Raw genomic sequence first — 16,494 nt, forward strand, 5'->3', positions numbered from 1 at the left:
GTGGTCATTCAGGTATAGACATGTGTCAAAACTTAGCAACCTTCTCACTTGAGATGTGTGCACTTTATATCTGCTCTGTATCAGTTAACACATACGTTAAAAAGAGGAAATAGGTGAGTTTTTGAAGATGGAATAATTACTACAAAATGAGAGTCATTGATTGTACCTGCTGCACGTGTGGAGACCAGATTTCAAAGGGGAACATTAAAACAGGAGGATGATAAACAAAATGTGGTCTATCTATACAATGGAATGTTATTCAGGCATAAAGGGAAATGAAAAATGGGTAAATCTTGAAAGCATTAAGACAAGTGAAAAAAAACAGACACAAAGAACCATATACTGGATGATTCCATTTATATAAAATGTCCAGAATAAGCAAATCCATAGAGACAGAAAGTAGCTTAGTGGTTTCCAATCTACTTCCCAGAGGGAAGAGAGGAATTGGAGAGGGACTGTTAATAGATATGGGATTTATTTCCAGGGTGATGAAAAAGGTCTGGAATCAGAGAGTGATGATTGTACAACTCTGTGAATATACCAAAAACCACTGAATTGCACACTTTATGAGGGTGAATTTTATAGCATTTGCATTTTATTTTATTTTATTTTATTTTATTTTATTTTATTTTATTTTATTTTATTTTATTGAGAGAAGGCCCCACTCTGTCACCCAGACTGGAGTCTGCAATCATGTTTTCTACTTATTGGTCAAGACGCCAGTCCCGCTGACTGCTCAGTCCCCAAGTTGTTCTATTTACCACATCCTTTTAGGAAGAGAACATCTAGGGCACCTTCTCCTCTCAGTGAGGCACTGCAGGTTCCCATAAGACCTCAGCCACGCCTGGCTAAGGAGAGGGCCCAGTTGCCCCTGCTGAAAAGGGCTCACTGCAGCTCTGGGAGAGGCTCCTTCTCTGGGCGTCTTCCTCAGATGCTGAACGATCAAGTGGGATCTGGAGCTGCCCGGAGTCCCCTCCCCTGACCTTCACCAGTCAGGAGTCTGGGAGGAACAGCTCATTCAAATATGCACCCAACGTGGATTCTCCCTCCACCCACTGACAGAAATGGCTAATGGAGCCCCAAAATCCTGCAGAGTTTAATTACCAACCTGCAAAGACAGGCTGTCAGCTCCAGTCCTAGGTAAAGACCTATGGGAAAGGGTGTTAGGTCAACCCAAAGACAGACAACAATGTCCACAGCAGGTCTGTCATCATAGCCGCGTTTTGGAAACAAGGTGAAGTCCATCAACAGCAGGCTAAATGCATAATTTGTGGCATAGACACTCAATGGAACACTCCACAGGAAGAAAAGGAGTGAACAGCTGCCCCGTGCAATAGCATGGATGAGCCCACACATGATGCCAAAGAAGCCAGACACAAGGGCATGCGCTGTATGATTTCCATAGGGTGTTGAATAGCATCTCCCCAAAACTCACATCCACCTAGAATCTCAGATTGGGACTGTACTTGGAAGTGGGGTCTTTGCAGATGTAACTAAATTAAGATGAGGCCACCCTGAATTAGGATGTGTCCTGAATCTAATGAATGGGGTTCTTATAACAAGAGGAGAGGACACAGAGAATGAGGCCATGTGATAATGGAGACAGATATTGGAGAATGATTTCACTACAAGTCAAGGTACACCCAGGACTGCCAGGAGCCACCAGGAGCTAGGAAGAGGCAGGAAAGGATCCTCCCCTAGACCCTTCAGGGGAAGCACAGCCCTGCTGACCCCTTGATTTCAGACTTCCAAACTCCAGAATTCTGAAAGCATCAGTTTCGGTTGTTTTAAGCCACATGCTTTGTGGTTATGTGTTACAGTGGCCCCAGAAAACCAAAATTTCATTGAATGAAATTCAAGAGAAGGCAAAGCTAATCCATAGAGATGGAAGCTCAAATACTGGTAGAGGATGGTCCTCATCTCGGAAGAGAAACAAGGAAGACTTCAAGGGTGTTCAAAATGCATCCTGTTCCAGGTGGTAGCTACCTAGTCATAGACACATGGAAAATTTCACTGAATTATACAGTTAAAATGTGTGCGCTTCCTTGCATGGAAGTGATACTTCAATAAAAATTTAAAAAGCAAGAAGCAGGCTGTTCCACTGGAGCTACAAACTACTTTGCTCTTTTTTCTTTCTTTCCTTGTCTTTTGTAGAAATGGGGTCTCACTATGTTGCCCAGGGTGGTCTCAAACTCCTGGGTTCAAGGGACTCGCCCGCCTCAGCCTCCCAGTCAGTGCTGGGATTATAGGCATGAGCCACTGTCCCCAGCCACGCTTTGTTCATTCTTGAAGGAAATCTCTATGATGTTCAACTTGTTCTTGTCACTCAAAATGACCATCCCCTGCCCTCTATAACTACCAGTAGAAACAAGATCTCTAGCAGCACTTTTCCAAGATTGGGTTTTCCCCAGAAGCACAGCCTGAGACAAGGATTTGAATGCAAGTGCTTTGCATGGGAGCACATGGGGAAGGGAGAAGGGAGATGGGAAGTGTGGGGAGGAGCACTGTGCCACCCACCCTGGGGACCCACTGAGACACCACAGGACACACCTCAGAATCTGCCCACCAAGTAGCAAGGGAGCTGGAGCCTTTATTGACCAACAGCCCTGCCTCACAGGGTAAGGGTGGCTCCAAGCACACCAGAGAAAGAACTCAGGCAGAGAGAGGCAGGAGCCTCTGCACTGGCCTCCAGCCTGGGCTGAGGCCATATGGGCCGGGACCTTCGTCTCTAGGTACAGGCCAGGGAAAGGCAAGACCTGGCTGGCCTTGAGCTCTGCCCTCTTGTTTGGGGGATCGAAGAACCAGGGATGCAGTATACTGAGAATTTCAAGTTCACGAACTTTCCTCCCCTTTCTTAGCACACAAGGTCCCTCTCCATATGGACACAGGGAAACCTCACCCCCCAAGGCACAACTGCCAACACCTTTCCATGAGAGCAAAGTGACTTCAGCAAAAACATCAGGTGAGGATGAAGATTGTCCAGAGGAAGCCGGCCCCAGGCTCTCCAGGGCTCCATTGTTCTCTGCATGTCTCAGAGCTGTCCAGGGCATGGTGCGGGCCAGCTGAAGGAAGCTTTGGCTCCGGGTTTTGTCCTCTCTTCCTGCTGGTGGGAAGAATGGGAGCTGGCAGGAAAGGAAACTGACTGAACAAAGAGAAGGAGGAAAATCAGAGGACCCCTGGAGAGATGTTACAGCTGGCCTGAGAGCTCATTGTGTTGGAGTGGGGGAAGAAAGCCATTCCCGGGAATATGCCTAAAAAATGCAAGAGACTCCCATGCCCGTCACCATCAAACCAGGCACTAGCCCGAGAATTTGACTTCCCAGATCTCAAAGGGGACTTAAAACTTTGGGTCCAAAAGACAAGATTTTTTTTCCATTTGCTTTAAAACTCTTGTTGAAAAGCAGATGTTAAGTCTGGGGAATCATGTGTTAACCAAGAAAGAGGTTTCTTAAGTGCATCAGCCACCATCCATAGCTGGGAGCAAAGCTAAGCTTGCAAGTTGGGGCCAGGAATATGTAGACAAGGACTCCGAAAGGTTTATGCCATGAGCCTACACACGAGAGGGACTCAGGGGCCTTGAGCATCCAGGTATCCAAGCTCTGGTGCCACAGTACTGGGGGCCATTGCTCAGAACTGAAAGCCTTGCAACGGCAAACTGCAACACCATTCAGATACCTGAGGCACTCCTCTGGGGCATGGCCATGACAGAGACTGTGCCAGGCCCCAGAACACTTTGCTTCTCTTACCAGCTGTGTGTGACTTTGAGAAAGTCACTTATCCTCGTGGTCTCTCTGTTTCCTGATCTGTAAGGTAGAGATCTTGACCTGCTTCATGGAGTTGGTATGAGAATGCCAAGTGTTTAATGCAGTGCTTAGAACATAGTGAGTGCTCCACAATATGAGTTACTGCACTGATGCAGTATGTGTGCTCACAGTCAAATGCCACATGCCCAACCCACCATCTACCTTCCTTTCTCTCCATTAGATTTCCAGGGATGGCTTTTTGGGGGAAAGGAATTGGTAACTGACATAGTTTTCCATCACGCTCCAAGCCAGAAATCTTGAGATCCTATGATACCCACTCAAAAATGCATTATTAATCCAGTTCTCAGCAACTTCTACTCACTACCATCATCTTTCATCTGGATGTCTACGACAGCCTCCTAACTGATGTTCCTGCTTCCATTCACAGGAACAGAAATAATCTATTAAAAGTCTAAAATCTGACTCACCCTCTCTCCTTAAAACTTTTCAAAAACTTCCCATTGTACCTAAATAGAATCCAAACTCTTGCACTGGCTTCAAAAGCCCTGTGCCTTTCTACAAGGTCACTAGACCCCTATTTCCCTGACAAACTCTGTTTCAGCCATGCAGTTTCTCTGTCAGTTCCTGAAACACAACAAGTTCCTTCTAGCCTCAGGACCTTTGTCTGTTTCCACTCCCTTCCCTGCATTACGTGACAAGCTCCTTCTCAAACTTCAGATCTCAGCCTAAATGTCAGCTCCTCACCAGGCTTCTCCAGGCCATTCTCTCTAAAGTAGGCTCCTTCTGCTACTGCATCATTATCTGTTTCCAGTTCGCCATTCTCTTCTTGTATCAGTCAGCTATCGCTGTGTAACAAGCCACCTCAAAACTCCATGGTTAAAAACAACAGGCATTCATTATCACTCACAACTGCAGGTTGGCTGGGGTTCAGCTGGGCACCTGTGCTCCTCATGGAAGGGCTGTGGGTCAGGGGAGGCCGTTCTGTTCCACATGTCTCTCAACCTCCTGCTGGGATGAGACTGGGCCCGTTTTTCTCATGGTAATAACAGAGGAACAATAGAGCAAGCAGAAAGATGTGAACTCTCTCAAGGCCTAGGCTCTCTCAAGGCCTAGGCTCAAAACAGACACAACATCCTTTCTACCACATTTTATGGGCCAAAGCATATCCTTGTGATCAAGCCCAAACTCAAAGAGTGGGGAAATGCCCTCCATCCATAGTGAGGCCAGGCAGGCCTGTGTCCACAGGGAGGATGGATAAAAAAATGTGGGCAGTCATTCAACTGCCACGATTTGTGATTCATGATGAATATTTTTGTTTCTCCACTCTCCACTAGAATGAGCAAGCAGGAACCTGGTATCCACAGCACCTAGAACAGTACCTGACATGTGACAGATGCTCAACAAGTCCCTTATTATACTTTTGTTTTGTTGTGTTTTTTTTAGAGACAGAGTCTCACTCTTTTACTCAGGCTGGAGTGCACTGCCGCAAACACGGCTTACTGAAACCTTGAACTTCTGGGCTCAAGCAATCCTCCTACCTCCACCTCTCAAACTGCTGGCATTACAGGCATGAGCCAACATGGTTGGGGCCCTTTATTATACATTGAATGAACTCCTAGACTGGAAGCCCATGTGTTACCTCTAGATGACAATTGTCCTATAAAACCATCATGACAGCAATTGGCTTTTCAGATATGGCTTTTTAATTTTTTTATTATTATTATTTTTTAGCTCTGTTGCCCAAGCTGGAGTGCAGTGGTGTGATCTCGGCTCACTGCAACATCTGCCTCCTGAGCTCAAGTGATTCCCCTGCCTCAGCCTCCCAAGTAGCTGGGATTACAGGCGCCCACCACCACACACAGCTGATTTTTGTATTTTTAGTAGAGATGGGGTTTCACCATGTTGGCCAGGCTGGTCTCAAATTTCTGAACTTAGGTGATCCGCCCACTTCGGCCTCCCAAAGCACTGGGATTACAGGCATGAACCACTGCACCTGGACTCAGATATGGCTTTTGTTGAATATGGACTCAGATATAGACAAACTTTTGCTTAACGATGGAGTCTTTTATTAATCAATGGGCAACTTCACACCTACTTGTTAGCAATTGCTTGGACATGGTCCTAAGGACTACAACAGCCACTTCCCAATCCAGGGCAGAAGAAAAAGCCCATGAACATGGCCCTGACTGGGACAAGGACCATGTGAGGCATTCTCTACTATGGACACAACAGAACTGATGAAATTCAGAGCAGGACCCAGCTCCAAATTCCCCTTGTCCAAAACCTGCTTATTCTTTAAGGGGGTGGGGGCTGCAGAAGGTAACCAGTGGACAAGGTGCAAAGGTTGTTGGGGTCCCTCTTCATACCTCCAAGAAGAATGGGGCAGACAGGAAAGCAGCTGGGAGCTGCCTTTGGAGTGAAGAGTCCTGGCTTGGCCAATGAGCACCAGTGTAACTTTGGACAAGGCTGTTGACCTCTGAGGTCCTTACCAACCCAAAGGGCAGTAGAGTAAATCAAAGGAGAGGAGCAAAAGGAAGCCCACACCTGTGCTGAGGCTCGCTGGTCCTCATCCAGGTTCAGAAGCAGTGTTCTCCAAACTTTTCAGGTTGGACACCCACTCAGTGAGCATTCTCAATATGTGCTGATGCTTATGTATAACATTACATACATGTACTTTTAAATATCATTCATTTTAATGGTTCATCTTCTCACCCTCTTGCACTTGTGTAACAGGACTATCTTCATCTTTTTTTTTTTTTTTTTTTTTTTTTGCACTCACGCTTAAGCCTCTTAGGATTTTTGTGACAGTTTTAGTCTAAGTAAAACTGAAAAAAATACTGAAAAAAATAATCATTTCTGCCACTTGCATGGTCCCCACCAAGGCACTTCTCTAAATTATTTTAGATGCATTTAGATCAGGGGCAATGGCTCACACCTGAAATCCCAGCACTTTGGGACACTGAGGCAGGAGGATCACCTGATCCCAGGAGTTCAAGGCTGAGCCTAGGAGTTCAAGGCTGAGCCCAGGAGTTCAAGGCTGAGCCTAGGAGTCCAAGGCTGCAGTAAACTATGATCACTCCACTGCACTCCATCTTGAGTGACAGAGAGAGACCATGTCTCTCAAAATAAAAATAAAAATAAAAATACACGCATTTTTTAAATTTTCATTTTTCCATAAGTTATTGGGGTATTGGGGTACAGGTGGTGTTTGGTTACACGAGGAAGTTTTTTTTTTTGTTTTTTTTTTTTTGAGACGGAGTCTCACTGTGTCACCCAGGCTGGAGTGCAGTGGTGCGATCTCGGCTCACTGCAACCTCCGCCTCCCGGGTTCATGCCATTCTCCTGCCTCAGCCTCCTGAGTAGCTGGGACTACAGGTGCCTGCCACCACGCCCAGCTAATTTTTGTATCTTTAGTAGAGATGGGGTTTCACCATGTTGGTCAGGTTGGTCTCGAACCCTGACCTCATGATCCACCCTCCTTGATTTCCCAAAGTGCTGGGATTACAGGTGTGAGCCACCACACCCGGCCATTACATGATTAAGTTTTTTAGTGGTGATTTGTGAGTGGTGCAACCATCACGTGAGCAGTATACACTGCACCATATTTGTAGCCTTTTATCCCTCACCCACCTCCCACTCTTCCACCCAAGTCCTCAAAGTCCATTATATTATTCTTTTGCCTTTTCGTCCTCACAGCTTAGCTCCCACATATCAATGAGAACATACGATGTTTGATTTTCCATTCCTGAGTTACATCACTTAGAATAATAGTCTCCAATCTCATCCAGGTCACTGCAAATGCTGTTAATTCATTCCTTCTTATGGCTGTGTAGTATTCCATCATATATATGTACTACGGTTTCTTTATCCACTCATTGATTAATAGGCATTTGGGTTGGTTCCACGATTTTGCAATTGTGAATTGTGCTGCTTTAAAAATACGTGTACAAGTATCTGTTTCGAAGAATGACTTCTTTTCCTCTGGGTAGATACCCAGTAGTGGGATTGCTGGATCAAATGGTAGTTCTACTTTTAGCTCTTTAAGGAATCTCCACACTGTTTTCCATAGTGGCTGTACTAGTTTACATTCCCACCAGCAGTGTAGAAGTGTTTCCTGATCGCTGCATTCACACCAACACTACTGTTTTTTTGATTTTTTTATTATGGCCATTCTTGCAGGAGTAAGGTGGTATTGCTCTGTGGTTTTTATTTGCATTTCCCTGATCATTAGTGATATTGAGCATTTTTTTACATGTTTGCTGGCCAGTTGTATATCTTCTTTTGAGAATTGTCTATTCATGTCCTTGGCCATGTTTTTTTCTTACTGATTTGTTTGAGTTCATTGTAGATTCTGGATATTAGTCCTTTGTCAGATGTATAGATTGTTTTTTCCCACTCTGTGGGTTGTCTGTTTACTCTGCTGACTGTTCCTTTTGCTGTGCAAACGCTCTTTAGTTTAGTTAGGTCCCAGCTATTTATCTCTGTTTTTATTGCATTTGCTTTTGGGTTCTTGGTCATGAAATACTTGCCTAAGCCAGTGTCTAGAAGGGTTTTTCCAATGTTATCTTCTAGAATTTTTATAGTTTCAGATCTTAGGTTTAAGTCCTTAATCCATCTTGAGTTGATTTTTGTATAAAGTGAGAGATAGGGATCCAGTTTCATTCTCCTACAAATGGCTTGCCAATTATCCCAACACCATTTGTTGAAAAGGGTGTCCTTTCCCCACTGCATGTTTTTGTTTGCTTTGTCGACAACCAGTTGGTGTAAGTATTTGGGTTTATTTCTGGGTTCTTTATTCTATTCTATTGGTCTATGTGCCTATTTTTATGCCAGTACCACGCTGTTTTGGTGACTATGGCCTTAGAGTATAGTTTGAAATCAGGTAGTGTGATGCCTCCAGATTTGTTCTTTTTGCTTAGTCTTACTTTGGCTATGTGTGCTCTTTTTTGGTTCCATATGAATTTTAGAATTGTTTTTTCTAATTCTGTGAAGAATGATGGTGCTATTTGATGCCGATTGAGTTGAATTTGTAGATTACTTCTGGTAGTATGGTCATTTTCACAATATTGATTCTACCCATCTATGAGCATGGAATGTGTTTCCATTTGTTTGTGTCATCTATGATTTCTCTCAGCAGTGTTTTGTAGTTTTCCTTGCAGAGGTCTTTTGAGTCCTATGTTAGGTATATTCCTAAGTATTTTTTTTTTTTGCAGCTATTGTAAAAGGGGTCAAGTTCTTGATTTGATTATCTGCTTGGTCCCTGTTGATGTATAGAAGGGCTACTGATTTGTATACATTAATCTTGTATCTGGAAACGTTGCTAAATTATTTTATCAGTTCTAAGAGCTTTCTAGAGGAGTCCTTAGGGTTTTCAAGATAAACAATCATATAATTGGCAAATAGTGACAGTTTGACTTCCTCTTTACCAGTCTGGATGCCCTTTCTTTCTTTTCTTTCTTTCTTTCTTTCTTTCTTTCTTTCTTTCTTTCTTTCTTTCTTTCTTTCTTTCTTTCTTTTTTTCCTCTGAGATGGAGTTTTCACTCTTGTTGCCCAGGCTGGAGTGCAGTGACATAATCTTGGCTCACTGCAACCTCCACCTCCTGGGTTCAAGTGATTCTCCTGCCTCAGGCCCCCAAGTAGCTGCGATTACAGGGGCCTGCCACCATGCCCAGCTAATTTTTCTATTTTTAGTAGAGATGGGGTTTCGCTATGTTGGCCAGGCTGGTCTCAAACTTCTGACCTCAGGTGAATTGCCCACCTCAGCCTCCCAAAGTGTTGGGATTACAGGCGTGAGACACCACGCCCGGCCTGGATGCCCTTTGTTTCTTTCTCTTGTCCGATTGCTCTGGCTAGGATTTCCAGTACTCTTGAAGAGGAGTGGCGAGAGTGGGCATCCTTGTCTTGTTCCAGTTCTCAAAGGGAATGCTTTCAACTTCTCCCCATTCAGTATTATGTTGGTTGTGGGTTTGTCATAGATGGCTTTATTACATTAAGGTATGTCCCTTGTATGCCAATTTTCCTGAGAGTTTTAATCATAAAGGGATGCTGGATTTTGTAGAATGCTTTGTCTGCATCTATCGAGATGATCATGTGATTTTTGTTCTTAATTCTGTTTATGTGGTTATCACATGTATTGACTTGCATATGTTAAACCATTTCTGCATCCCTGGTATGAAACCCACTTGATTAGGGTGGATTATCTTTTTGATATGTTGTTGGATTCGACTAGCTAGTACTTTGTTAAGGATTTTAGCATCTATGTTCATCAAGGATATCGGTCTGTAGTTTTCTTTTTTGGTTATGTCCTTTCCTGGTTTTGGTATTGGGTGATGCTGGCCTCATAGAATGAATTAGGGAGGGTTCCTTCTTTCTCTATCTTGTGGAATCCTTTGAATGTCTGGTAGAATTCTGCCATAAATCTGTCTGGTCCTGGACTTTTCTGTTGTCGGTAATTTTTAAATTAACATTTCAATCTCACTGCGTGTTATTCGTCTATTCAGGGTATCTAACTCTTCCTGATTTAAGCTAGGAGGGTTGTATTCTTCCAGGAATTTATCCATCTTTTCTAGGTTTTCTAGTTTATGTGCATAAAGGTGTTCATAGTAGGCTTGAATGTTCTTTTGTATTTCAGTGGTGTCAGTTGTAACATCTCCTGTTTTGTTTCTTAGTGAACTTGTTTGGATTTTCTCTCTTCTTTTCTTGGTTAATCTTGTTAATGGTCTATCAGTTTTATTTATCTTTTCAAAGAACCAGCTTTTTGTTTCATTTATCTTTTGTATTTTTTGTTTGTTTGTTTCAATTTCATTTAGTTCTGCTCTGATCTTGGTTATTTTCTTTCTTCTGCTGGGTGTGGGTTTGGTTTGTTCTTGTCTCTCTAGTTCCTTGAGGTGTGACCTTAGATTATCTGTGCTCTTTCAGACTTTTTGATTTAGGCATTTAGGACTATGAATGTTCCTCTTAGTACCATCTTTGCTGTATCCCAGAGGTTTTGATAGGTTGTGTCGTTAGTCATTCAGTTTGATGAATTTTTAAATTTCCATCTTGATTTTGCTTTTGATCCAATGCTCACTCAGGAGCAGGTTATTTAATTTCCATGTATTTGCATGGTTTTGAAGGTTCCTTTTGGAGTTGATTTCCAGTTTTATTCCACTGTGGTCTGACAGAGTGCTTGATATAATTTCAATTTTCTTAAATGTATTGAGGCTCATTTTATGGCCTATCATATGGTCTATCTTGGAGAAAGTTCCATGCACTGTTGAATAGAATGTGTATTCTGTGATTGTTGGATGAAATGTTCTGTATATATCTGTTAAGTCCATTTGTTCCAAGGTATAGTTTAAATCCATTGTTTATTTGTTGACTTTCTGTCTTGACCTGTCTAGTGCTGTCAGTGGAGTATTGAAGTCCCTCACTGCTATTGTGTTGCTGTCTATCTCATTTCTTAGGTCTATTAGTAATTGTTTTATAAATTTGGGACCTCCAGTGTTAGGTGCATATATGTTTAGGACTGTGATATTTTCCTGTTGAACAAGGCCTTTTACTATTATATACTGTTCCTCTTTGTCTCTTTTAATCACTGTTTCTTTAAAGTTTGTTTTGTCTGACATAAGAATAGCTACCCCTGCTTGCTTTTGGTGTCCATTTGCAGGAAATGTCTTTTTCCACCCCTTTACTTTAAGTTTATGTAAGTCCTTACGTGTTAGGTAAGTCTCCTGAAAGCAGCAGATGGTTGGTGATTTCTTTTTTTTTTTTTTTTTTTTTTTTGAGACAGAGTCACACTCTGTTGCCCAGGCTGGAGTGCAGTGGTGCAATCTCGGCTCACTGCAACCTCCACCTCCTGGGTTCAAGCAGTTCTTGTGTCTCAGCCTCCCAAGAAGCTGGGACTACAGGTGCATGCCACCATGCCTGGCTAATTTTTTTTTTTTTTTGTATTTTTAGTAGAAATAGGGTTACATCATATTGGTCAGACTGGTCTTGAACTCCTAACCTCAGGTGATCCACCCTCCTCGGCCTCCCAAAGTGCTGTGATTACAGGCGTGGGCCACCGCGCCCAGCCGGTTGGTGAGCTCTTATCCATTCTGCGGTTCTGTATCTTTTAAGTGGAGCATTTAGGCCGTTTACATTAAATGTTAGTATTGAAATGTGAGGGACCATTGCTTTCATTGTGCTCTTTGTTGCCTGTGTACTTTGGTTTTTGTTTTTGCTTTTTAACTTGTATTTTTGTTTTATAGGTCCTATGTGATTTATGCTTTAAACAGGTTCTGTTTTGATGTGTTTCCAGAATTTTTTTCAAGATTTAGAGCTCCTTTTAGCAGTTCTTGTAGTGGTGGTTTGGTAATGGCGAATTCTCTCAGCATTTGTTTGTCTGAAAACAACTGTATCTTTCCTTCATATATGATGCTTAGTTTCGCTGGATACAAAATTCTTGGCTGATAATTGTTTTGTTTGAGGAGGCTGAAGATAGGGCCCCAATCCCTACTAGCTTGTAGGGTTTCTGCTGAGAAATCTGCTGTTAATCTGATAGGTTTTCCTTTATAAGTTACCTGGTGCTTCTGTCTCACAGCTCTTAAGATTCTTTCCTTCCTCTTGACTTTGGATAACCTGATGACAATGTGCCTAGGCAAAGATCTTTTTGCGATGAATTTCCCAGGTGTTCTTTGCGCTTCTTGTATTGGGATATCTAGGTCCCTCACAAGGCTGGGGAATTGTTCCTCGATTATTCCCCCAAATATGTTTTCCAGGCTTTTAGAATTCTCTTCTTAGGTACACCGATTATTCTTAGGTTTGATTGTTTAACATAATCCCAGACTTCTTGGAGGCTTTGTTCATATTTTCTTGTTCTTTTTTCTTTGTCTTTGTTAGATTGGATTAATTCAAAGACTTGTCCTTGAGCTCTGAATTTCTTTCTTCTATTTGTTCAATTCTATTGTTGAGAATTTACAGAGCATTTCACATTTCTAAAAGTGTGTCCAAAGTTTGCTAAATTTTTATTGTTTTTTTCTTTTAGCTATCTATTTCCATGAATATGTCTCCCTTCACTTCTTGTATCATTTTTTGGATTTCCTTGCATTGGGTCTCGCCTTTCTCTGGTCCCTCCCTGATTAGCTTGATAACTAACCTCCTGAATTATTTTGCAGGTAAATCAGGGGTTTCTTCTTGGTTTGGATCTATTGCTGGTGAACTAGTGTGATTTTCGGGAGGTGTTAAAGAGACTTGTTTTGTCACATTACCAGAGTTGGTTTTCTGGTTCCGTCTCGTTTGGGTAGGCTCTGTCATAGGGAAGGTCTAGGGCTGAAGACTGTTGTTCCGATTCTTTCATCCCACTGGCTGTTTCTTTAATGTAGTTCTCTATCCCTTTTCCTATGGATGTGGCTTCCTGTGAGCCGAACTGCAGTGATTTTTGTCTCTTTTCTGGGCCTAGCCACCCAGCGAGTCTACCCAGCTCTGGGCTGGCACTGGGGGTTGTCTGCACAGAGTCCTGTGATGTGAACTGTCTATGGGTCTCTCAGCCGTGGATACCAGCACCTGTTCCGGTGGAGGTGGCGGAGGGTGCACTGGAAGTCGTGAGGGTCCTTAGCTTTGGTGGCTTAATGCTCTATGTTTGTGCTGGTTGGCCTCCTGCCAGGAGGTGGCGCTTTCCAGAAAGCATCAGCTGTAGTAGCGTGGAGAGGTACCGGTGTTGGGTGAGTCCCTAGAACTCCCAAGATTATATGCCCTTTGTCTTCCACCCAGGGTAGATAGGGAAGGACCATCTGGTGGGGGTGGGGCTAGGCGTGTCTGAGCTCAGACTCTCCTAGGGCGGGTCTTGCTGTGGCTGCTGTGGGGGATGGAGGTGAGATTCCCAGGTCACTGGAGTTGTGTACCTAGGAGGATTATGGCTGCCTCTGCTGAATCCTGCAGGTTGTCAGGGAAGTGGGGGAAAGCCAGCAGTCACAGGCCTCACCCAGCTCCCACGCAAACTAAAGGGCCCGTCTCACTCCCACTGTGCCCCCACCAACAGCCCAGTCTGTTTTCAGGCTGCAGGTGACAGGCTTGAAAACTTGCCCGAGGCTATCCGCCTCCCAGCTGGGAGAGAAAAGGGCTTCAGTTCTTCCCCTGCTTGTGAAGTCTGCCCGCTGGATTCGCACCCTCCCCAAAGTTCTGGCCAGGAGGTTTCTTGCCCCATTCAAATTGTTACAAAATTCAGCTGGGGAATTCCTTCTCCCTGTGGAGTTTTATCCCCTGCTCCTCTAGCCACCCTTCTGATGGATCCCTGTTATGCCAGGCAGGAATGGGATGCTTGGGGACCCAGCGAGCTCCCAGGGCCTTTCTGCTACTTCCTGTACCCCTGTCTTTCGGTCGGCTCTCTAACTTGACTCAGCTCCAGGTAAAGTCAGAAACTTCCCCCACAAACAGAACTTCAGCTTCTCCACTGGGGGTGTGTGTTCACTTCCTCAGTTGGGGCACTGACAGTATTTGGGGTGTCTCCCCGGCCCTGCAGGAGCGCTCTGCTTCCTTCAGAGGATCTGTGCGTCCTCTTGGGAGTGCTGGTTTGTTCTTGTAGTGGATCTGGAGCTAAAATTCACAGTGTAAGCCCCCACATGCTGCTCTGTCCAGAGCTGCAATCTAGTCCTGCCTCCAGTCCGCCATGATCCCTTCTAATCTGCACTTAAATATTTTAAAGATGTTTAATCCCTGAAGCAGTCCCATGAGATGGATACTAATATTACGTCCATTAAGCAGATGAAGAAATGGAGGCAGGCAGACAGTATCCAAGGTCTCACTGCAGGGGAGACAGGATTTGAACCTGGAAGTCTGGTTCAGAAGGCATCAAAACACACCAGGTGTGTCAAAAGCTTTAGGTCCCAAACTACTGAGCCCAGGGAAGGTGTCTCGTGATGCGGGGCTGACACACAAACCAAGTAAAGACACCAAGACCAAATGTCACTATTTTTGAGATTTAAAAATGTTAATTATATCAAGATAGAAGTTATAGTCTTTTTCCTCCTCACTTTGGCGCCACTGCTAGGAAGAGCGGGGGAGCGGGCGTTGCACCGCGTCCGGGCCACGAGGGGGCGCGCGGACACCACCCACCCCGCCGGGCAAGGCCACCCTCCCAGACGCCTGGCAGCCGGAAGAACCGCACGAACGCCTTCCGCAGAGCTGGTCCTCGGGAGCCCTCCAGCCCACCCAGGTCTTTCCTAGCCCCAAATCCTTCCCAGGGACGTCCTCGGGACAGGCAAACCTGCTGTAACATTCAGCTGATATAGGAGGTGGAACCCTCCTACAGTCACAGAGACAGAAAGTGCCCCGAGGGCGTCGCTCTGGTCCTGGCGGAGATGGTCTCTGATGGTCTGCCTTGATGACTTATGGGGACACCTGTCGGGGGTTCTGCTAGAAAGAAAGATGCAGAGCGCCCCTCACGCACGCAAACTCTAGCTCTCACACCCAGACGTGCTCCAAACATTCCAAAGGGGCCAAAAACGACGTCTGGCTTTTCCGCGGCGCCTCCTGGCCCTGGCGGTGACTCCGAGGTGGCGCTTTCAGGGTGGGCGCGAGGGAGAGGAAAGCCTCTGGCATCCTCACCCCCGGGGCCAGAGGGACAGCGGGTGCCCTCCGCCCCGAGTCACCTGCGTCTTGAATTCTGTCCCTCCAAGGAGAGGGCAATGCCTGAGCCCACGGAAGTTGGGTCAGGGGCAGCATTGGAAGTCAGAGCCTGCAATGCTCACGTAAATGCAAAAGATGGTTCCTTCAGTGCCAGTAAGAAGGCTGTCTTGAACATGAGGAATACAGCAGCAAGCAAGACAGAGAGGTGCCTGCTTTCTGGGGAGACAACAAACAGATAAATAAGCACAACACTGTCCTGCCAAGCTAAGTGACATCAATGAAACAAGGCAAGGTAATAAGAAGAGGCTGGGAAAAGGCTTAGCTGTGATTTTGCTTTCTGCAGTTTGAGTTGCCTATGTTCAACAGAGGTTCAAAAATATTAAATGGAACATTTCAGAAATAAACAATCCTAAGTTTAAATTGCATGCCATTCTGAGCAGCGTGATGATATCTTGCGCCATCTCTCCCAGTCCTGCCCCGGAGATGAATCATCCCTTTGTCCAGCGTGTCCACACGGTACATGCTCCAGGCCCGTTAGTTACTTAGTAGCCATCTCAGTTTTTCGGATGACGTCGAGGTATGGCAGGGTTTGTGTTCAAAGTCACCCTTGTTTTACTTAACAATAGCTTCAAAGCACAAGCATAGTGATGCTGGCAATTTGGATATGCCAAAGAGAAGCTACAAGGTGCTTTAAGGGGAAAAGTGAAAGTTGTGGACTTAATCAGCAACCTTAGCTGAGGTTGCTAAGATCTGTGATAACAAGGAAGCTTTGATTCATGAAATTCTGGAGATGGAAAAAAGAAATATATGCTAGTTTTGCTGTCACACCTCGGACTGCAAAGTAATGGCCATGGTGCATGATAAGAGCTTAGTTAAGATGGAAAAGGCATTAACTCTGTGGATAAAAACATGAAGAGACATGTGTTCTGATTGATGGCAATAAGGATCAGTATTATCCGTGGTCCCAGGCATGCACTGGAGGTGTTGGAATGTATCCCCCATGGATAAGGGGAGACTATCGTATCCTTGATTGGGGCATTGCTACATGGATGTATACGTTTGGCCAAACTCTCCAAACTGAACACTTAAGATAGGTGTGTTTCATTGTACGCACATTTTTCAACAAAAATCTTTTCTATATAAG

General features: G+C 44.6%; 2 annotated features.

Annotated features, from left to right (window-relative positions):
- Positions 2,942 to 3,236: a silencer, noted in NCBI's record as "tiled region #7998; K562 Repressive non-DNase unmatched - State 24:Quies". NCBI's record gives its function as "represses a minimal TATA promoter and a strong SV40 promoter by Sharpr-MPRA in K562 cells {active_cell/tissue: K562}" and the evidence as "EXISTENCE:reporter gene assay evidence [ECO:0000049][PMID:27701403]".
- Positions 14,723 to 14,912: a silencer, noted in NCBI's record as "silent region_12646". NCBI's record gives its function as "represses an Ori minimal core promoter by ATAC-STARR-seq in GM12878 lymphoblastoid cells {active_cell/tissue: GM12878}" and the evidence as "EXISTENCE:reporter gene assay evidence [ECO:0000049][PMID:35858748]".

Source organism: Homo sapiens, chromosome 20 (genome assembly GCF_000001405.40).
Source record: "Homo sapiens chromosome 20, GRCh38.p14 Primary Assembly".
NCBI lineage: Eukaryota > Metazoa > Chordata > Mammalia > Primates > Hominidae > Homo > Homo sapiens.